General features: G+C 43.3%; 1 protein-coding gene across 10 annotated transcripts in view, besides 4 other annotated features; it reads left to right on the top strand.

The window, feature by feature from the left end:
* Positions 1–22,606, top strand: part of G3BP2 (G3BP stress granule assembly factor 2) — an 81,652-nt gene that overhangs the window by 5,246 nt on the left and 53,800 nt on the right. The gene's annotated exons all lie outside the window — the stretch shown is intronic.
* Positions 2,555–3,070: an enhancer, noted in NCBI's record as "H3K4me1 hESC enhancer chr4:76641306-76641821 (GRCh37/hg19 assembly coordinates)". NCBI's record gives its function as "activates a minimal SCP1, AML or CMV promoter by ChIP-STARR-seq in primed H9 embryonic stem cells {active_cell/tissue: H9 hESC(primed)}" and the evidence as "EXISTENCE:reporter gene assay evidence [ECO:0000049][PMID:30033119]".
* Positions 13,430–14,175: an enhancer, noted in NCBI's record as "OCT4-NANOG-H3K27ac hESC enhancer chr4:76630201-76630946 (GRCh37/hg19 assembly coordinates)". NCBI's record gives its function as "activates a minimal SCP1, AML or CMV promoter by ChIP-STARR-seq in naive and primed H9 embryonic stem cells {active_cell/tissue: H9 hESC(naive and primed)}" and the evidence as "EXISTENCE:reporter gene assay evidence [ECO:0000049][PMID:30033119]".
* Positions 15,668–16,414: an enhancer, noted in NCBI's record as "OCT4-NANOG-H3K27ac hESC enhancer chr4:76627962-76628708 (GRCh37/hg19 assembly coordinates)". NCBI's record gives its function as "activates a minimal SCP1, AML or CMV promoter by ChIP-STARR-seq in naive H9 embryonic stem cells {active_cell/tissue: H9 hESC(naive)}" and the evidence as "EXISTENCE:reporter gene assay evidence [ECO:0000049][PMID:30033119]".
* Positions 20,154–20,313: an enhancer, noted in NCBI's record as "active region_21621". NCBI's record gives its function as "activates an Ori minimal core promoter by ATAC-STARR-seq in GM12878 lymphoblastoid cells {active_cell/tissue: GM12878}" and the evidence as "EXISTENCE:reporter gene assay evidence [ECO:0000049][PMID:35858748]".

The following is a 22,606-nucleotide window of genomic DNA, read 5'->3' as shown; positions in this document are numbered from 1 at the left end:
TATTTTTAGTAGAGACGGGGTTTCACCGTTTTAGCCGGGATGGTCTCGATCTCCTGACCTCGTGATCCGCCCGCCTCGGCCTCCCAAAGTGCTGGGATTACAGGCGTGAGCCACGGTATTATCAATTTCTTAACAACTGAACGTTTAAAGATATTACCCTGTAAGTCTTCAACTCCAGCCCTACTAGCTCATGTTACTGAGAAGTCTGTTACTTCAGATGAGGCTTAATCTGGGGTATCAAGCCAATTTCCCTGTTATCTGGGTTTTCACTATTTCTGGACTCTGCTCTCCTTAACTGTTTTTGTTTTTTTTTCTCTAGCTCCATGCGGGGCAAGATGGCTGCCAGGACCTATAGTCCTAGTATCCTAGGCCCAAGTTCATCAAAGACTCCCAACCTCTCTCCTAAGAGTCCCAGCAAAAGTCTCCTTGTGACTCATTTTACCTGATAGGGTCGCATGCCTATGTGGTGAGCTAATTCCTGTAGTTTAAGGTTTGAGATGTTCTGATTGGCCTTGAGTCACATTCCCACCTCTAAAGCAAGGAGTAGAAGTCTTCATCTCATCTCAAAGCATATGGCATAGGAGCTGGGGAACAGGGACATTCACATTTCTCCTAGGAAATCTGGAATAGTATGCCAGGAGAATGTTTATCAGGATAAGAAAAACAATACATGCTCACTGTATCCCCTAACGTACTTAAACTGCTTGCCAGTTTTTTTTGAAATTATTTTTCCAGCCTTATCACTAGTGTATGCTAGCATAAGTTCTGCCTCTCTGCAAAGATTCAAAAGATCATGTTACATTATTTAATAAACGTAATTTGACATTGCATTGTACTTAAATCAGCAAGCAAATCTATACCCTTTTTTTAAAGAAAGTATAACCCAGGTGTGTTTCCATTTTTAAGAAAATACAATAAGCAGAATTACTTATGAAACACCTAAAAAAAAAAAAGAAAGAAAGAAAGAAGAAACACCTAAATTAGGAAATCCCATTTTCATTTCCAAAGGACTTTTTATTTTTATTTATTTATTTATTTTATTTGTAATTTTTTTTTTGCGACGGAGTCTCATTCTGTCTCCAGGCTGGAGTGCAGTGATGCTACCTTGGCTCACTACAATCTCTGCCTCCCAGGTTCAAGCTATTCTGCCTCAGCCTCCCAAGTAGCTGGGATTATAGGTGCGTGCCAGCACACCCAGCTAATTTTTGTATTTTTAGTAGAGACGGGGTTTCACCATGTTGGCCAGGATGGTCTTGATCTCCTTACCTCGTGACCCACCCGCCTCAGCCTCCCAAAGTGCTGGGATTACAGGCATGAGCCACCACGCCTGGCCAAAGGACTTTTTATAAAACTGTTTATCGAGGGACAAGTTTATCAGATCCAGGCCCTAGCACTGTTTCTTGTGGAGAATTTGACTGTTACCTCCCAACACCATTGTCTCTCCCCCAACACCTCAAGCCAGCTGAACAAGTATGTCCTGAATAGCCAGGGTAGGGTTGCAGTCTTTACTGTCCCATTCAATAGCTAGACCAAAGCCTTTGAAGTTCGCATTGGGTGATGCCAAGATTCCATGTAAGCTTAAGATGATTTTAATGGAGTCATTGCCAACTTCCCAGCAAGCTATGATTTTAGAGTAGTTGGCAGCTGATCTCTGTCATTTGCCTGAGGCTATGCCCCAAGCAAGTATTTGTGGCAGGAGGGAGTGACAGAGTTGTCTCTTGAGATCAGACTGGGCCTCCAGGCCAGCAGATGGTAGCTGACCTGGACCAAAACTTTCCAAAGTCAGCCCACACTTCCAAGGTCCCCTCTCTGCAACCCCCTTCTCCCAGGCTCAAGCGATCCTCCCATCTCAGCCTCCTGCGTAGCTGGGACTACAGGTGTGCACTACCACACCCAGCTAATTTTTATTTTATTTTATTGTAGAGATGGGGTTTCACCGTCTTGCCCAGGCTGCTCTCAAACTCCTGGAGACCCACCCGCCTCAACCTCCCAAAGTGCTGAGATTACAGGCATGAGTCACCATGCCCGGCCATAATTCCAGTTTTTTAATGAAGTTGACTTTAAGATGCCAATGGCCTGTGATTGACAAATACACTAGGGAGATAATCAGGATGGGCTCAGTAACCTGCAGATGTTATGTGGAGGGTCCAGAACTGGCATAGGCAGGTGGTTTGGGAAAAGGAGAGGTAGTTGGGTGTGGACATAATTTTCTGCCAGTAGCTTAGGAGTCCATGGGCAGAGGGATGGAAGATGAGAAGATTGTAAGTACAAAGAGGCAAAGAAGAGAAGTCTTCTGTTTGGCCTCTGTCCCCTGATGCTTCCTTACAGGATCGCACAAACACCATACTAGTTGTGGGTGGTATAAAGAACTAGAAGAGGCCGGGCACAGTGGCTCACGCCTGTAATCCCAGCACTTTGGGAGGCCAAGGCGGGTGGATCACCTGAGATTGGGAGTTCGAGACCAGCCTGACCAACATGGAGAAACCCCGTGTCTACTAAAAATACAAAATTAGCTGGGCATGGTGGTGCATGCCTGTAATCCCAGCTATTCGGGAGGCTGAGGCAGGAGAATCGCTTGAACCTGGGAGGCGGAGGTTGCGGTGAGCCGAGATCGCGCCACTGCACTCCAGCCTGGGTGACAAGAGGGAAACTCTGTCTCCAAAAACAACAACAAAAACAAAACAAAGAAAAACAAAAAAAAACAAGAACTAGAAGAGGGCCGGGTGTGGTGGCTCACGCCTGTAATTCCAGCACTTTGGGAGGCTGAGGTGGGCAGATCACCTGAGCTCAAGAGTTTGAGACTAGCCTGGCCAACATGGTGAAACCTCATCTCTACTAAAAATACAAAAAATTAGCTGGCTGGGCATCATGGCACGTGCCTGTAATCCTAGCTACTTGGGAGGCCGAGACACAAGAATCTCTTGAACCTGTGAGGCGGAGGTTGCAGTGAGCTGAGATTGCACCACTGCACTCCAGCCTGAGTGACAGAGCAATACTGTGTCTCCAGGGGAAAAAAAAGAACTAGAAAAGCTCCAACTTGCCCTTCCCACTGCCCTCTCCCCACCTCCAATACCTACACACATGACCTTTTCAGGACAGGGGCACAAAGTCTGTGACCCAAAGTGACCTAGACCCTAGTCCTAGATGTGCTCTCTCTTTCCCAAGTATGTGAGTATTGACTCCTAAAAAGCTCAGAATCTAAGGTCTGTATAGGTTATTGCAGCAGCCGGTCTCCTTCATGTGAGGGTGCTGCTATCTAGGTCTCGTTCTAGTATCTGGGTCAGAGAAAAATGACTATACTGGTATTTTGGTATTTATGGTGTAATAAATACCAGGATCTTTGTTTTTTAAAAAGTTCGTAATTTGTCCCATTTAAAACCAATCAGTGAAAGGAAGTATTTAACACATTTCATTTTAACATATATTAGTGATTGCTATCAACTTCAGAAAAGCCCCGGGGCATGGCTGATGGGTTGATTAGCTTTCAGTGTCTTCTTTCCTGCACCTTTAACTCTGTTGCATGAAGCTTTTTGAGCCTCAGCCTCTGGATAGCTGCTTAGCTCTGGCCAGAGGCTAGGCCTTCCTGGTGCAGCAGTTTTGATTTTTTTCTGACAACCTGGGAAGGATGGTCCTTCTTGTGGTCTAACACTTGCCTGCCCCAGCTGAGTAAGCCACTGTGTTCAGAGAGCTTTTCACATGGGATCCATACTCTGCCCCTTTGATGGGGACATGAGTTGCAGGAGCTGATGGACAAAGAGAGGGTAGAAGGATTTCTGTGAAGGATACAGTGAGGATCGAGTGTGAGAGAGATCCAAGAAACTGAATGAAATTGCTGACTAATATCTGCAGCAGCTAGAGTATTGCACCCACATAAATACAGTTTTTTTTTCCTTCAGTACTTAAAATAGCTCAGTATACCAGAATACTGAAAACAGATGTGCTTGGTTTCTTGAATTATTGATTCGGCAAACATTTGAGCCTCTGTCCTCTGTGCCAGGCCCTGCCATAGGCAGTCTTCTGTGTGTTTTTCGTTCTGGACTGCTAGAAATTCTTATTCCTGTTTCACAGAGAGAGAAGCCTAGACTTCAGCATGATACAGACCAGAAAAGCATGTTTTCTTTGCAAACCTAGACAGATGTTGCCACTTTTGGACTGCTGTAACCTTGGGCAAATTATTTAATTTTGCTGTATCAATTGGATTACCACGTGCTGCAATAGAACACCAAACTAAAGAGTGTCTTGAATAAATTAGGAGGTAGGCAGTGCAGGACTAACAACAGAGGCTGTAGGATGCCAGCTTGGATGCAAGCTGGAATTTTTCTGTGCAGGCATCCTTGGCCTGAGGTTACAGGCTGACTGTTCTATCTCCAGCATCACATTTCTTATTCTGGGCAAGAAAAGGGGCAAAGGTGAAGGGGAAAAAGTATCTACAAATGAGTGTGCCTTTCCCATTCTTCTACCCTTTTAACTTTTTATATTGAACTAATTTCAGAATTGCAGAGAGATTGCAAAAGGTGAACCTTTTTACCCCATTTGCTTTATCATTTCTTTTCTTTTTTTTCTGACATGGAGTTTCACTTTTGTTGCCCAGGCTGGAGTGCGGTGGTGCGATCTTGGCTCACTGCAACCTTCGCCTCCCGGGTTCAAGTGATTCTCCTGCCTCTGCCTCCTGAGTAGCTGGAATTACAGGCACTCGCCACCACGCCCAGTTAATTTTTTGTATTTTTAGTAGAGATGGGGTTTCGCCATGTTGGCCAGGCTGGTCTCGAACTCCTGACCTCACGTGATCTGCCCGCCCCGGCCTTCCAAAGTGCTGGGGTTACAGGCGTGGGCCACTGTGCCCAGCATCATTTCTTTTCTTTAAATGTATATATTTTCCCCCTGAATATGTGAGAGGAATTTGTAGGCATGATGTCACTTGACCACCTAAATACTTCAGTGTCTAATTACTAAAGACAAAAGTATTTTCTCAATGATTTTAATAATCAAAACCAGGAAATGAACACTGATACATTGCCATTATCTAATTAATCTACAGGCCTTATTCAAATTTTGGCAGTAGTCCCACTAATTTCCTTTTTGGGGAAAAAGTTTTTTTCTTTTGGTCTAGGATCCAATTCAGGATTATATGTTGTGTTTAGATGTCATGTCTCTTTAGCTGTCTTTAATCTGTAATAGTTACTCCATCTTTCTGTGTCTTTCATAATCTTGATGTTTTGGAGAGTACAGTATTGGTCAGTTATTTTGTAGAATGCCCCTCAATTTAGGTTTGTCTGAGCTTGCCTCACAATTAGAATATCACAGAAGTGCTGTCCTTCTCATAGTATATCCTCTCAGAAAGTATATGACATCTATTTTTCCCATTATTAGTGTTACCACTTTTTTGGTTTGTTTTTGTTTTTTGAGATGGGGTCTTACTGTGTCGCCTGGGCTGCAGTATAGTGCCCCATTCATAGCTCACTGTGACTTCAAATTCCTGGGCTCAAGGGATCCTCCTGCTTCAGCCTCCTGAGTCGCTAGGACTACAGGCACTTGTCAACATGCCTGACTAATGTATTTTATTTTATTTTGATTTCTGTTGAGAGTCTCGCTGTGTTGCCCAGGCTGGTCTTGAACTCCTGGCCTAAAGCAATCCTCCACCTTGGCCTCCCAAAGTGCCAAGATTACAGGCAGGATCCACCACTCCCTGCCAGTGATATCACTTTTGATTAATAGTTTAAAGTACTGTCTACCGGTCTTCTCCATTGTACAGTTACTATTTTTTCCCCTTGTAATTAGTAAGTATCATTTGGGAACATGCTTTAATACTGTATAAATATCCTGTTTCTCATCAAACTTTCACTCTCCAATTTTAGCATCCTTTCATATTCTTGCCTGAATCATTGGTGGTTGCCAGTCTGCCTCCTGTATGAAAAGCTTTCCAGGAATCTCCATCTTTCAACTTCCACCTATTTTGTTAAGAACTGTGTCCATTCTTAGCTGCCAGAGTGCCTGGGAAATGAATTATTTTCTTGTTTTGTTTTGATATGGACATATTCTCTCAATAGAAGGGAGGATAAAAACTAGGTAAGCAACTTGCCAACCTAATAGCATTGGTGTAAGGATTAAATTGAATTATGATTGATACTTAAAAATACCCACCTCTAACCTATGGGAATAGGGTTTTGTTTATTTGTTTTGTTTTGTTTTTTGATCACTTTTGGTCACATAGCTAGTAAATAGCATAACAGGTCTGCAACTCTAGTCTAGTCACTATACTATAGTTCCTTTTGCTGGTTTTAGAAATTCTATATTCTCTTAAATCTTTTGTCACTCCCTTCAGCTATATAACTAAGACTACTTCCATACTGTATTAATCTACAGAACTCTTTATGGAATGGTCTTATATACTAGATGAAGACAACATTATGTGTATATTAAGTAAAAAGCCTGATTCAAATTTCTTTCTATTTGGATATTTTCACCTCCCTTATAGTTCAAGATAATTGTTCACTTTTGGGGTTAATGGCTATTCATTTATTCTCCCAGTGATCGTAATCTAGAGGGACCTAGGAGGGGAAAATACTCAGAGAATAATGGCATTTGCTCAGCTTTATAAAGAAACACAATCATATGTTGTATTGATTCTTTGCAGTTTAAAAAATATTTGACAGAGGGAACTGTAAAAATCTTTCCTCTTGTCAGTTGTAAGAACTGGAATTTTAACATTCTCTTCTCACAGAATCAATGTGAAAAACATGAAAATTTAATACCAGTTGGCAGTAAAATCTCACTTTATTTAACTGAGAATTTTACATTGAGTATGATGAGATCATGTACCTCAAAATAATGTTAGTATATGACAGAAATTAAAAATGATGGTAAAAAAGGAATAAATCAAGATATGAAATTACTGAATGATCCCAGCTAAGTTTAAAATATTTACACAGGAAAAAGCTTAGAAGGAAATGTAGTAAGATATAAACTAAGAGTAGATATATATGTATATGTATATATATAAAATTGTTTAAATTGGCACATAATCGTACATATTTATGGGATACAATATGACATTTCAATACATGTATACAATGTATAATGATCAAATTAGGGTAATTAGCGTATCTATCACCTCAAACAGTTATCATTTCTTTGTGTTGAGGACATTCAAAATCTGCTAACAGTAGTTGTATTTTGATGGAAGGGTTTTGTGTGATTATTTCTTCTTTCAATTGTTCCATAATTTCCAGCTTTTCTTTTTTATAATCACAAATAACAACAGACTTAGGGAACAAATTAAGTAGAAGCAGTTGTGGAAGAGAAATGTCATCTGGAACCCCAACAAAACTACTAGTTTGCTAGGGAGGAGAGACCCAAGGGGCTCCATGTTGCAGCTGATGCCCGAGCCTGAATTTCATCCCATCCTCTTTGGTACCATCTCTTTCTCCTTCCCTTTCATTCTTCCTTTCCTTTATATTATATTATATTATTTATTTTTTGAGATGGAGTTTTGCTGTTGTTGCACAGGCTGGAGTGAAATGGCATGATCTTGGCTCACTGCAGCTTCCGCCTCCTGGATTCAAGCAGTTCTCCTGCCTCAGCCTCCTGAGTAGGTGGGATTACAGGCACGCACCACCATGCCCAGCTAATTTTTGTATTTTTAGTAGAGGCAGGATTTCACCACGTTGGCCAGGCTGGTCTCAAACTCCTGACCTCAGGTGATCCGCCCACCTTGGCCTCCCAAAGTGCTGGGATTATAGGCGTGAGCCACCATGCCCTGCCCCTTTCCTTTATTCTTTTTTTATTTTCCTCACACTATATGGTAGGTGATGAGAATAATTATAAGAGAGACAGACAGTAGGAAGAAAATTAGTCTTTTTTTTTTTTTTTCTTTGAGATGGGGTCTCACTCAACCGCCCAGGCTGGAGTGCAGTGGCACAATCTTGGCTCACTGCAACCACTGTCTCCTGGGTTCAAGAGATTCTCCCACCTCAGCCTCCCAAGTAGCTGGGATTACAGGCACCCGCCATCATGCCCAGCTAATTTTTGTATTTTAGTAGAGATGGGGTTTCACCATGTTGGCCAGGCTGGTCTTGAACTCCTGACCTCAGGTGATCTGTCCGTCTTGGCCTCCCAAAGTGTTAGGATTACAGGCGTGAGCCACTGCACCCAGCTGAAAATTACTCTTTAAAGCCAGACAGGTTGAATAGGAATGGTGAGAAAGGATAAAATAAAATAAAGCCAGACAGGGCCAGGCACGGTGTCTCCTGCTTATAATCCCAGCACTTTGGGAGGCCAAGGCAGAAGGATTGCCTGAAGCTAGGATTTCAAGACCAGCCTGGGCAACATAGTGAGACCCCCATCTCTTAAAAAAAAAAATTATCCAGGCCTAGTGGTGTGCACCTGTAGTTCCAGCTACGTGGGAGGCTGAGACAGGAGGATTGCTTGAGCCTAGCAGTTTGAGGATGTAGTGAGCTATTATTACACTACTGCACTCTAGCCTGGGCAACAAAGTGAGACCCCGTTCCTGAAAAATAAATAAATAAAGCCAGACAGACTTAAATTTGAATCCTGGCTTCATCATTTATTTATTCGACAAATAAATAAGCGGCTAGTGAGCAGCTACTATGCCACTGGGGATTTAGCAATGATTAAAACAGACAAAAATGTTTGCTTTTGTGGAGCTTGTATTCTTGTGGGAGAAAGTTCAAACCCCTATTGTTAAAGGGTCAATTTTGCTTACTTCCCAGCTAAGTTAGCTCACTTGGGGAAGTACATAATTTATGAGATGTGGAAAAGTAACCAATAGATTACAGAGGCCCACTTATAGAGGAAGTGTTTCCCAGTTGTTTCTGGCCTGTGACAAAGCTGCAATCTTGTCAGAGTACATGGAGACAAGGAGAGACAGTCCTCTTGGTTTCTCATGTCGTCATCCACCAACTCGAGAAGCAGGCTGGGTGTGGTACTCACATCTGTAATCCCAGCACTTTGGGAGGTCAAGGCAGGAGGATTGCTTGAGCCCAGGAATTCAAGACCAGCTTTGGTAACATAGTGAGACTCTGTCCCTAGAAAAAATAAAGCAGTCCAAACACATCCCACACCTTGTCATTTATAGAAGGTATCATTAACATTCAGTAATAGCTTGGTACCTAGCACATTACATTACCTAGTATGTGGTCATATGTTCAATAAGCTCTTTTTTCCCATTAAATGGAATTAGCTGACCTTAGTCTATACCCTTTCAATAAATTCAAGCCAAGGGCCATCAGAGCTGGTCTATTCTTACCCAAGTGAGGACCCAGAGTGAGTTGATGGAGTTGAAGGGAACAGGTTAGCAACCCTTGGAATAGATGATACTGTAAAAAACTGCATTATTTGAGCTGGGTGCAGTGATGTGTGCCTGTAGTCCTAGCTACTCCAGAGGCTGAGGTGGAAGGATCCCTTGAGCCCAGGAGTTAGAGTCCAGCCTGGGCAACATAATGAGACACGACCCCCTAACCCCATCTCTGAAACCCGCCCCACCACACACACACAACTGCATTCTTTAAATAAAAATGAAACCACAAATCAATCCTTCCTTCCTTCCTTTTTCTTTCTTTCTGAGATAGAGTCTTGCTCTGTTGCCCAGGCTGGAGTGCAGTGGCATGATCATGGCTCACTACAGCCTCTACCTCCTGGGCTCCAGCAATCGTTGTACCTCAGCCTACAGAGTAGTTGAGACTATAGGCATGTGCTACTACACCTGGCTGGTCGGTTTTTTTCGTAGTAGGTTTTTTTTTTTTTTTTTTTTTTTGAGACGGAGTCTCACCCTGTTGCCCAGGCTGGAGTGTGGTGGTGCAATCTCAGCTCACTGCAACCTCTGCCTCCAGGGTTCAAGCGATTCTCCTTCCTCAGCCTCCTGAGTAGCTGAGATTACAGGGGCCAACCACCGCACCTGGCTAATTTTTGTATTTTTAGTAGAGATAGGGTTTCACCATCTTGGCCGGGCTGGCCTCTAACTCCTGACCTTGTGATCCCCCTGCCTCAGCCTCCCAAAGTGCTGGGATTACAGGTGTGAGCCACCATGCCCTGCCTGGCTGGTTGTTTTGTTGTTGTTGTTATTGTTTCAGACAAGTTCTCTCTGTTGCCCAGGCTGGAGTGCAGTGACTGGTTATGACTCACTTTAGCTCCCAACTCCTGGACTCAGGTTATTCTCCCACCTCGGCCTCCCAAGTACCTGAAACTACAAGTGTGCGCCACCATGCCTGGCTATTTTTTTGTATTTTTTATAGACAGGGTTTCACCATGTTGCCCAGGCTGTTCTTGAATTCCTGGGCTCAAGCAGTCCTCCTGCCTTGGCTTCCCAAAGTACTGGGATTACAGGCATGAGCCACTGTGCCTGGACCCAGCTATTTTTGTTTTTTATTTTTGTAGAGAGTCTCACTCTGCTGCCCAGGCTGATCTCAAACTCCTCAGTGCAAGCGATCCTCCTGCCTTGGCCTCCCAAAGTGCTGGGACTACAGGCATGAGCCACCATGCCCAGCCCAAACTTTGTAACTTAATGGAGAAGATCCCAGTGGAGAGGTTCAACCGGACCATATTATCATTATTGTATTCCCCAAGATGTATGGACCATCTCCTCAGGTCTCACAAATTACTGCTTCCACCAGCATAATTGCCTCTAGGAGGCACTGCTTCCCCCTTTAAGGCTGTGGACCAGTTGCTGTGAATTATTATCTAGTCTACAGCTGAGCTGGGTTCTAGCTGCTAGGAGAAATAAATTCTATGAGTGAGAGTGACGTCAATCAAGATCATGTGGCTTATAGAATTTGTTTACCCTCTGCAGCTCACGGGGATCCCTGTCTTCCTAGGTCTTGGGCTATTCATGCATACTGGGCCCTCTTTACTCCCAGCATCCAAGGAATCATTAGCCAGGCTTGATGGTAGGGGCTAGAGTAGAACAAAACATGTTTGCCAAGTTCTTTGTAAGAGCCAAGTCTAGTGGGGAAGAAGGGTATTCACCTAGATTCCTCAAGACTAGGCCAAGAGACAGGGCAAGGAAAAGGTCCTGACAGCCTTCTTAACACCTTCCCTGACAGTTCCTAGTTTTCTGGTTTGAAATTGAAAAGGGTACTTCCCTAAGGCAATACCTATCCCTCTAGCAGAGGGCAACCATTTCAGCACACAGCACAGTAAGTAACACTTTGTCGATGCACATAGTTGGTTATAGAGGGTCTGTTAATTACATATACATGGAATTTACTATGAAATAAATCTCATTTTATGTATATATTGGCTGAAAAGCAGGTCATTTGTAGTAACAGTAGTTTAAAAAACCCAATGAGTTAATTAAATTAATGTTTACATTTTTATTCTGAAAATTAATGTGTAATATTGAATAATATATTCTGCTTTCAGTAAATCCAGTTCTGCTCTAAGTAAATGCCACAAAGTTTGAAAAATGCAAGTTCATTTTAATTTCATAAAATTTATCTTTGACAGGACTAAGGCCCAATCAACATTTTTCTACATTGATTTGTTAAACCACCGGATTATAATAAAGCTAACCATTAATGATCCTTTATAGCAAAAACTTAAAAACTGATAATTGTCTTTTTTTTTTTTTTTTTGAGTCTCGCTCTGTCACCCAGGCTGGAGTGCAGTGGCGCAGTCTCGGCTCACTGCAACCTCCGCCTCCCAGGTTCACGCCATTCTCCTGCCTCAGCCTCTCCGAGTAGCTGGGACTACAGGCTCCCGCCACCATGCCCGGCTAATTTTTTGTATTTTTAGTAGAGACGGGGTTTCACCGTGGCCTTGATCTCCTGACCTCGTGATCCGCCCACCTCGGCCTCCCAAAGTGCTGGGATTACAAGCGTGAGCCACGGCGCTGCCGATAATTGTCTTAAGTGTTGTAGACATTATCTCAGGTCAATTTCTTTATCCCAACCTGGTTGTGAATGTCTAGTTTTTATTTGAGGGCTGGAGGGTCACATGTCCCGTACATACCTGTCTTTTATTATACTATTTTCCGTGTTTTCTGTTTTTTTTTTTTTTTTTTCAAGACGGAGTTTCGCCCTTGTTGCCCAGGCTGGAGTGCAGTGGTGCGATCTTGGCTCACTGCAACTTCCACCTCCCTGCCCCAGCCTCCCGAGTAGCTGGGATTACAGGCATGCGCCACCACGCCCAGCTAATTTTGTATTTTTAGTAGAGACAGGGTTTCTCCATGTTGGTCAGGCTGCTCTCGAACTCCTGACCTCAGGTGATCCGCCCGCCTCAGCCTCTCAAAGTGCTGGGATTATAGGCATGAGCCACCAAGCCTGGCCACTCTTTTCCCTTTTGCTGTTAAGGTTGTTAGCAGTTCCCCTTGCTATGCATAATAGTCCTTTCCACTCCGATTTGCTACTTGTCATTTAACATAGACCTTTAGTGGTGGTCAACTTTGACCATATTGTAGACATTGTTCTAATAACTTTGCATATATTAGCTAATATAATCTTCATAACCACCCTGTAGAGTAGGCAGTATCATTATGCTCATTCTTTTTTTTTTTTTTTTTGAGATAGAGTTTCGCTCTTGTTGCCCAGCCTGGAGTGCAATGGCACGATCTCGGCTCACCGCAACCTCTGCCTCCTAGGTTCAAGCGATTCTACTACCTCAGCCTCCTGAGTAGCTGGTATTACAGGCATGCGCCACCACGCCCCGCTAATTTTGTATTTTTAGTAGACATGGGGTTTCTCCATGTTGGTCAGGCTGATTTCATTATGCTCATTCGGCTAAGGTCACACCACAGCTGCTAAGTGGCAGAGCTCAGGATTCAAGCCCAATCTAGCTCCAGAATCCATAACAGTATACAAGAGTACAATAGAGCAGCATGGCCCAGTAATCCCAGCACTTTGGGAGGCCAAGGCGGGAGGATCACTTGAGGCCAGGACTTAAAGACAGCCTGGTCAACATAGTGAGGCCCTATATCTACCAAAGGAAAAGCAAAAACAAAAACACAATGCTGCCTCAATATCCAGGTTTATAAGAATAGCTGAAGTTCAAGTGTAAGTAGGATCTTAGTAGAGTTTCCAAAGCACTCACCTATGAGTTACATCTGGTTACTTAACCTCTGTGAGCCTATATCATCATCTGTAAAATGGAAATAATAATAGAACCAACCTCATAGTGTCACTCCTTTCTGGTAACAATAGGATTGTTGAGAGGATTAAATGAGTGGAGACATATATAATGTTATGTGTGTGTATACATATATATGTATATGTATATATATTGTGTATGGGAAGAACTAGAAATAGTGCCTGACACATAGCAAGTATTCATTATTCCAGTCACTGTTCCTATGCTCACTAAATAAATATTATCCATGAGTTTTAAGGGCAGTAAAATTTTATGGCATTTGCTGGTCTATAGATGTTGAGAGGCTGTTACACCTGTTCTTTCTTCATAGCCCACTTCCACAGTAAGTGTGTTAACCTCCTACCCGTTCTTTTTAAGGCCCCCGCCTAGCTCACTTAGGAGATCCTGAATGTGGCTGTGGCAGAACTTCTGGAGGGACGGCCTTTCCACTACTCAGCCCTGATGCCTTTGTCCCTCACTCTCCTTCCCAGCCTGCCTTCCCTGCCATCCATCTTTCCTGGAAGGCCTCCCTCCTCCAGGCCTCCTGTAGGGTGGAATGTGCTCTTCTCTGGCTCTCCCAACCCACTCCCTGACCTGTGCAGGCCTTTTATTTTTCAAAATAAGCTTTACATCTGATCACCACAGGGAAGCGACTAGAGACAATACACAGGAAAATCCACTGGAAAGTAGGAATTTGACTTAATATGGCTCTGGTCTATAATTCCAGACTTCTGTTGAAATGGTAAAACATGATTTACTGTAGGTTGCCACCTCTTGTTTCTCTGTGTGGGCCTGTACCTCCCAGGTAGCCTGTAGGCGCAGCCCAGGCTTTTGTGGGCATTCTGTTTTGTGAAATGGGCTATCTGCATCTCTGAGGAACCCGAATGCTGGGAGGTCAGGCAGTTTAATGGACCTGAGCCCTCCACTGGGGAGGGGAAAGATTATCCCCTCTGGGCATGTTTTTCCCCAAGTGTGGCAATGGGTTTAGATCAGGGGTGTCCAATATTTTGGCTTCCCTGGGTCACACATAAAATACACTAAAACTAATGATAGCCGATGAACTAAAAAAAAAATCTCAATGTTTTAAGAAAGCATATGAATTTGTGGCCACATTCAAAGCTGTCCTGGGTTGTGGGTTGAACAGGCTTAAATCTCAGGGCAGGCCTAGAGATAAAAAATTAAGACTGGGTGTGGTGGTTCACGCCTGTAATCCTAGCACTTTGGGAGGCCAAGGCGGGTGGGTCACCTGAGGTCAGGAGTTTGAGACCAGCCTGGCCAACACGGCAAAACCCCGTCTCTACTAAAAATACAAAAATTAACCGGGCATGATGACACACAACTGTAATCCCAGCTATTTGGGAGGCTGAGGCAGAAGAATCGCTTGAACCCAGGAGGTGGAGGTTGCCGTTAGCCGAGATTGCGCCACTGCACTCCAGCCTGGGTGACAGAGCAAGGCTCTGTCTCAAAAAAATTAAATTAAATTAAAAAAATATATTGGGCCATCACAGTGGCTCACACCTACTATTCTAGTACTTTGGGAGGCCGAGGCGGGAGGATTACTTGAGCCTAGGAGTTCGAGACCATCCTGGGCATCATAGTGAGACCCTGTCTCTATAAAAAATTTTAAAAATTACCTGGGCATGGTGGCTCAAGCCTGTGGTCCCAGCTACTCAGGAGGCTGAGGCCCGAGGATCACTTGAGCCCAGGAGTTCCAAGCTGCAGTGAGCCATGATAGCACCACTGCACTCTAGCCTGGGTGACAGAGCAAGACTTTGTCTCAAAACAAAAACCAAACAAACAGGTCCGGCGGGGGCTCACGCCTGTAATCCCAGCACTTTGGGAGGCTGAGGTGGGCAGATCATGAGGTCAGGAGTTCAAGACCAGCTTGGCCAACATGGTGAAACCCCATCTCTACTAAAAATACAAAAATTAGCCGGGCATGGTGGCGCGTGCCTGTAATCCCAGCTACTTGGGAGGCTGAGGCGGGAGAATCCCTTGAACCCAGGAGGCGGAGGTTGCAGTGAGCCAAGACCACACCACGGCACTCCAGCCTGGCGACAGAGCGAGACTCTGTCTCAAAAAAAAAAAGAAAAAAAAAAAAACCTTTCATAGACATTACAGAGGACTATGCATTTTGCTTAAGATCTAAAATTTATTTATCAATCAAAAGAAGCATTTACTCTGAGATACCCTAGAAACATCGTGGTAAAATGAAATTATATTTAGGTTAAATTATCATTTAATTAAACTCTAATAATAAGAAAATGAAATGACCTTGGAAACATCTTATGAATCAAATAGATAGCCAAAGAAGGAAGGAAATTATGAATGAAAGGTAAGCTCAGGATCATTTTCCATCCACATCCTGGTGCCTGCTTATTCTTCAGTTTTCAGTCTGGAAGACTTCTCTCCCACTCTGTCAGAATCTGGTGCTCCCATATGCCTCTAGCATTGCTTTTATCCATTGTCTTAAACTCACCTCTTGCTATCTTGTATCCCCAGCTGAGGGGACCTCAATCCTCAAGAGGCTAAAAACCCTGTTTGTCTATTTCACAGTCGTATACATTTTAGGACTGGCTAAAAACCCTGTTTGTCTATTTCACAGTCGTATACATTTTAGGACTGGCCCTTTGTAGACATTTAGTAAATATTTATTCAATTAAAGGTCTAGGGGTTGGGGGAAACCAGTAGAAGTTGCATACGTGACTAAGGGTAAGTGGTGTGGATTGGGGGACTTTTGAGAGGTGGAGTGTTGTGGGGTGCTGGCTGCTGCCTCCGCAGTGTCTGGTCCTGGAGTGCTGTCTGGTTCTCATCACTGGTGCAGACACTGTTTAAGCCCTGTGAAATCTGCTTTTGCTATCTGAACCTTGCACCACACTCGTGTTTGATCATTTGTTAATGTGTAAGAAGAAATGTTAACTGTCTGAAGGAAGAGACTCCTCCTGTCTGCACATTCTCCCCATAGGAAGTTACAGGGAAGCCAGATTACAATCAGAAGGCTGCCTGGAGGAGCCTTCTTCATGCATTCAGTAAGCATTTACTGAGTGCCTACTTAGCATCGCAACAAAAGAATGTGGGTGATTTTAAGGAGTGTCCTTCAGCTGAGGGAGTTTAGGAGCCTCGACTCCTCCCTGATATGGAGATCATAGTATTCCAATGGAGTGGCCAAGTGGCCCTTGCCCCAGATAATGCATCCAGAAATCACTCCAAAGCTGTTCCCTGGGCTCCTTCTTATCCTTTTAGGGTCTCACTGACTCCTTCTGTTGATATATTTACATTGCAGTCTGGTTATAGTGCAGTTTACTTCATGGAAGCATTTGGAAGTCTCTTTCATGTCCCTTGCCAAATCTCTGCTGTGTCTGATGCCTTTCTTATTTCCAAATTCCAGGGTTGATGGCATAGGTAGGGACATCCATGGCAGTAATTGCCTTGCTATAGATTCATCACAAATAGTGATGCTAATGTAACCATGCATAATGCTTGCTTCTATAGTTGCACCTGTATAGAAAAACTGTTCCTTTAACCTCTTAGTTTCCATTCCTGGGGGCCTGCAAATTATGACAAAAGATAGACTAGCAAGAGAAAAGACAAAATTCAATTGTACATCTTAGTTAATGCATTTACAGGAGTTCACAGAACAATGTAACTCAAAGAGGTGGTTAGAATTCGGGGGTCCAGGCGTGGTGGCTCACGCCTGTAATCCCAGCACTTTGGGAGACCCAGGCGGTGGGTTGCTTGAGCTCAGGAGTTCAAGACCAGCCTAGGCAACATGGCAAAACCCCATCTCTACAAAAAATATAAGAATTAGCCGGGTGTGATGGCATGTGCCCGTAAGCCCGGCTACTTGGGAGATGGAAATTACAGTAAGCCAAGATTGTGTCACTGCATTCCAGCCTGGGCAACAGAGCCAGACCCTGTCTCAAAAAAAAAAAAAAAAAAAAAATTGGGGGGTTTATATACCATCTTAAGGTAGGGGGGAACGGCACTTATAGGAAAATAAATGATTTAAAAGGGCCTTTAGAAGAATACATGGGAGATATGGTAGTTCTGTGACAATATCTGTTTAGGTGTGGTATGGAGACATCTCATCTTCTGTGATAAGAGCCAGTCTTCCCTGGTTGCTCCCAGGGAGGGAACTGATAACAATTGAATTATACTGGGAGACTCTGCTTTTAGATAGGTAAGATCCCAGAAGCTCAAATACCTTCTGCTTGAAATAGTTTTTATGCCATAGTGGCATATTCTGGACCTCTTCAAGGTCTATCTTTCTCATCTATAGAGTATTCCAGTGGGTAGAATATAAGTGGATAAAATTATTCTCCAAAATTGTATCAGTATTTGTGTTTGAGTCCAAAAGCCTTCAAACAAGTAGCTAAAATATAAAACAGGCTGGGCACAGCAGGTCACGCCTGCAATCCCAGCACTTTGGGAGGCTGAGGTGGGCGGATCACCTGAGGTCAGGAGTTTGAAACCAGCCTGACCAACATGGTGAAACCCCATCCCTACTAAAAATACAAAATTAGCCGGGCATGGTGGTGCATGCCTGTAATCCCAGCTACTCAGGAGGCTGAGGCAGGAGAATCTCTTGAACCTGGGAGGCGGAGGTTGCTGCGAGCCAAGATCCGTGCCATTGCCCTCCAGTCTGGGCAACAAGAGCGAAACTCCATGTGAAAACAAACAAACAAAATTAGCCAGGTGTGGTGGCACACGCCTGTAATCCCAGCTACTCAGGAGGCGGAGGTTGCATTGAGCTTAGATAGTGCCACTGCACTCCAGCCTGGGCAGCAAGAGTGAGACTGTGTCTCAAAAAGAAATAAATGAAATATAAAACAAATATAAATGCAGTAACTAGAATATTATTTGTGGAGTCCAGATGACAGTGTTGTCCCAAGTCAACAAGATTCCTTTTTGCAAATTGGGGGGGATAAGAAAAATATTTTATTTAAACCAAATGGTTTAAAATTATTAGTCTGGCTGGGCGTGGTGGCTCACGCCTGTAATCCCAGCACTTTGGGAGGCTGAAGTGGGCGGATCACCTGAGGTCAGGAGTTTGAAACCAGCCTGACCAACATGGTAAAACCCTGTCTCTATTAAAAATACAAAAAAATATATAGCAGGTGTGGTGGTGCATGCCTGTAATCCCAGCTACTCCGGAGGCTGAGGCAGGAGAATCGCTTGAACCCAGTAGGTGGAGTTTGCAGTGAGCTGAGATCGCACCATTGCATTCCAGCCTGGTCAACAAGAGTGAAACTCCACCTCAAAAAAATAAAATTATTAGTCTGATTTTGTTTAATCCTTTTCTCCCTTTTAAGGGTCATCTTAATAAATACTAATAGTGTATTTTCAGCATCCTTTTCTTTTTCTTTTTTTTTTTAACCATAAAATGAAATGGTCTCAGCTGGGCGCAGTGGCTCATGCCTGTAATCCCAGCACTTTGGAAGCCCAAGGCAGGCGGATCACGAGGTCAGGAGTTTGAGACCAGCCTGACCAACATGGTGAAACCCTGCCTCTACTAAAAATACAAAAATTAGCTGGGTGTGGTGGCACGCGCCTATAGTCCCAGCTACTCAGGAGGCTGAGGCAGGAGAATCACTTGATCCTGGTAAGACGAGGTTGCAGTGAGCCAAGATCGCACCACTGCACTCCAGCCTGGGCGACAGAGCAAGACTTCGTCTCAAAAAAAAAAAGAAAGAAAGAAATTATGTCGCTGTTTTTATTAATGTTTTCATTTCGGTTTTTTCCTATGCTAAATTAAGCATTCAGGGCTGGGCGTGGTGGCTCACGCCTGTAATCCCAGCACTTTGGGAGGCCAAGTCTGGCAGATCAAGAGGTCAGGAGATCAAGACCATCCTAGCCAACGTGGTCAAACCCCGTCTCTACTAAAAATACAAAAAGTAGCTGGGTGTGGTGGCACGTGCCTGTAATCCCAGCTACTTGGGAGTCTGAGGCAGGAGAAAAGCTTGAACCAGGGAGTCAGAGGTTGCAGTGAGCTGAGATCACACCACTGTACTCTAGCCTGGCAACAGAGCGAGACTCTGCCTCAAAAAAAAAATTCATATCATATATCCTTGAGTACTGGTGCTTTTATTTTATGTTGATTTCTTTGCATATTTTAACAATAATTGCAAGATTACTTTTCTACATTTGCGATGATTAGAACTAAAAAAAATGAAAATCTAGAAGGAAACAGAAGTGCTAACAGTATTTGTATTTGGTGATGTAATTATGGTAAGTATATTTTTTGTTTCCCATTTCCTACATTCTTTATGAGCATGTGTTAAAATGAAAATAATAAATTTATGAATAAATAGTATAATATGGATTATAATAATATAGCCTCATGCCTAAAGAAATATTAATGAAATCCTTCTGAAAAACAACAACTATAAGAGAAAATATTATGTCAGTGTGAGCCATGACACAACCAGATAAGATCTGAAATATATTAGTTTCAAAATCAATACGTTATGGTTCATAAATGAATTGGAATCAAATCTAATAAACACTTTACAAGACATGTAACAAGGCCAGTGTTACAGGAGTCTGGCTAGGCAGTACAGTTTACATGTGAGTAAGAAACTAAAGTTTGAGGGCCAGGCTGAAGCAGTGAGTAGAAAGGGCATAGGCTTTAGGGTCAGGCTGAGTGTGATTTTGAATAAGTTGCCCAAACTCTCTGAAACTCTGCTCTTCTTCTGTACAATGGAAATAATGACTCCCACTGGGTAGAACTGTGCTGAGGATGGATTAACAGCCCATTGAAGTGGGTTCAAAAAGGATAGAAGAGGAATTGGAGACAGCAAGTATAAAAATCTCTTTTTAGGAGCTTTGCTCTAAGAAGGAGCAGAGAAACTGACTGATTGCTAGAGAGGGATATTGTAGGAGGAATTCTGTTGTTTTTACACTGGGTGCTTTAAAATCACGTCTGTATGCTGGTACAAATGAGCCAGTGGAGAGGAAAAATTTCACAATGATGGAGAACTACAGAAGCAATGTTCTTGAGGTGAGAGGGGAGGGATTGGTTTTAGACAGGAGCACAGTGTATTGAAAGTAACAAGTGGGACAGAGGAGTAGGTGGGTACAGATGCTGGCATACATAAGTAGAGGTAGGAGAGTTTCAACGTTCTGGGCCAGTTGCAGGATGTGGTGGCTCAAGCCTGTATTCCCAGCACTTTGGGAGGATGTCTTGAGCCCAGGAGTTTGACACCAACCTGGGCAACATAGTGAGACCCCCATCTCTATAAAAATTTAAAAATTAGCCAGGTGTGGTGGCATGCAGCTGTGGTCCTAGCGCCTTGGGTGGCTGAGGTAGGAGAATTGCTTGAGTTTGAGGCTTCAGTGAGCCGTGATCATGTCACTGCACTCCAGCTTGGGTGACAAAGTGAAACCCTGTATCAGATGAACAAAAAAGGAAGTTCTGGTTGCTCATGACCCCTTCGTAAGTATGTGGTGAAGTCCCTCCCTCCAGCAAACAGCATGACCCAAAAGAGAAGTTGGGAGATTTGAGGAAAGCTCAGAAGCTGTAAAATAGCTGTCTAGGAGAGTAGGAGGGTAAATTGGTGGGAAATATTGCATTATTGTAGTGTTGGCGGAGATAGGGACCCCTTCCAGCCCACTGGAAGTCAGTAGGCAAGAATTTAAAGTGGGATCAGATGGTATGTTGAGTGTTTTCCGGGCATAGTCAATGGGCTAACCTCTAGGTGTCAGCAGGGCTGCTTCCTTCTGAAGGCTCTAGGAAAGAATTGGTTTCCTTGCCCTTCCCAGATTCTAGAAGCCACCTGCATTTCTTGGCTCATGGCTCCTTCCTTCGTCTTCAGAGCCACCAACATGATGTCATTATATCTCCTTCACTGGCTGCTTCCTTCCTCACATAGCCTTCTCTCTAACATTAACACTCTTGTCTCCTTGTTATGAGGACTCTCTGTATTACAGTGGGCTCCCCTAGATATTTCAGGATAAACTCCCCATCTGAAGATTCTTAATTTAATCATAGCTGCAAAGTCCCTTTTTGTTCTGTAAGGAAATATATTCACAGGTCTGTGGATTAGAACATGGACACCTTTGGGAGGGCCATTATTCTGTCTTCTACAATTAGTGAAGTTGAGTGTATTTATACTTATATATAAAAATGTATAAGTGGTTGTTTGTATTTCATATTTTTTTGTGTTTTTTGTTTGTTTGTTTGAGATGAAGTTTCACTCTGTTGCCCAGGCTGGAGTGCAGTGGCACGATCTTGGCTCACTGAAGCCTCTGCCTCCCGGGTTCAAGGGATTCTCCTGCCTCAGCCTCCTGAGTAGCTGGGATCATAGGTGTGTGCCACCGCGCCTAGCTAATTTTTCTATTTTTAGTAGAGATTGGGTTTTGCCATGTTGGCCAGGCTTGTCTCAAACTCCTGACCTCAAGTGATCAGCCCACCTCAGCCTCCCAAAGTGCTGGGATTACAGGCGTGAGACACTGCACCTGGCCTGTATTTCTTCTTTTATGAATTACCCACTTATGACATTTTTTTCTGTTAGCTGCATATTGAAATACGCATATTGCATATTTTGCCCAGTTTATTGCTTGCCTTTCACTTGTTTACAAGATACTATCTAATTTACATAAATACATTAATTTTTAAAATCTATATTATGGAAAAAAGTCGAATAGTGTATTAAATCTCCACATACCCATCACCAAACTTAAATAATTATCGACACAAGGCTAATCTTATTTTATCTATACTTTTATCACTCCCCCATATTATTATTTTGAAATAAATCCCAGACATCATATCATCCATAAGTATTTCAACAAAACACCTCAATTTCATGATCTTTTTTTTTTTTTTTTTTTTTTTTTTTTGAGACAGAGTCTCGCTCTGTCAGCCAGGCTGGAGTGTAGTGGCATGATCTCGGCTCACTGCAAGCTCCGCCTCCTGGGTTCACGCCATTCTCCTGCCTCAGCCTCCTGAGTAGCTGGGACTACAGGCACGCGCTACCCAGCCCAGCTAATTTTTGTATTTTTAGTAGAGTTGGGGTTTCACCATGTTGGCCAGGATGGTCTCATCTCCTGACCTTGTGATCCGCCTGCCTTGGCCTCCCAAAGTGCTGGGATTATAGGCATGAGCCACAGTGCCTGTCCAACTTGTCTTTTTAAAGGGGATGAAAATAAAGTCTGAATATGTTGAAGAAAAGGGAAGATTTTCTTCAGCTTGTCTTTATGAGGAATGACCATCTTTAACTACTTACTCGAGTATTGTAGGGCATCTACTGTGCGGAAAGTGCTGAGTTTAACTTCATGTTACTCTTGCATGCATGTGAACATGGACCTGTGTTATGTAAAAGGATTACAGTTATAAAATTAGCAGGCTGCCCATTGGTGTCCACACTCCTGATTTAGTCCTCTTTCCATGACGACAATGATGATTGGGAACAACTGCTAGAAAGCTGGCAGTTGTCTGCCATGCTCACATCATTTACACATCTAATGTTTTTTACCAAGGCCACTGGGCACTGGGAAGTAAAAAGAAATGTACAAAGAGAAGGGAAGA

Source organism: Homo sapiens, chromosome 4, assembly GCF_000001405.40.
Source record: "Homo sapiens chromosome 4, GRCh38.p14 Primary Assembly".
In the NCBI taxonomy this organism is placed as follows: Eukaryota; Metazoa; Chordata; class Mammalia; order Primates; family Hominidae; genus Homo; species Homo sapiens.
The sequence above is the reverse complement of the archived record's forward strand: the minus strand, read 5'-3'. Positions and strand labels throughout refer to the sequence as shown.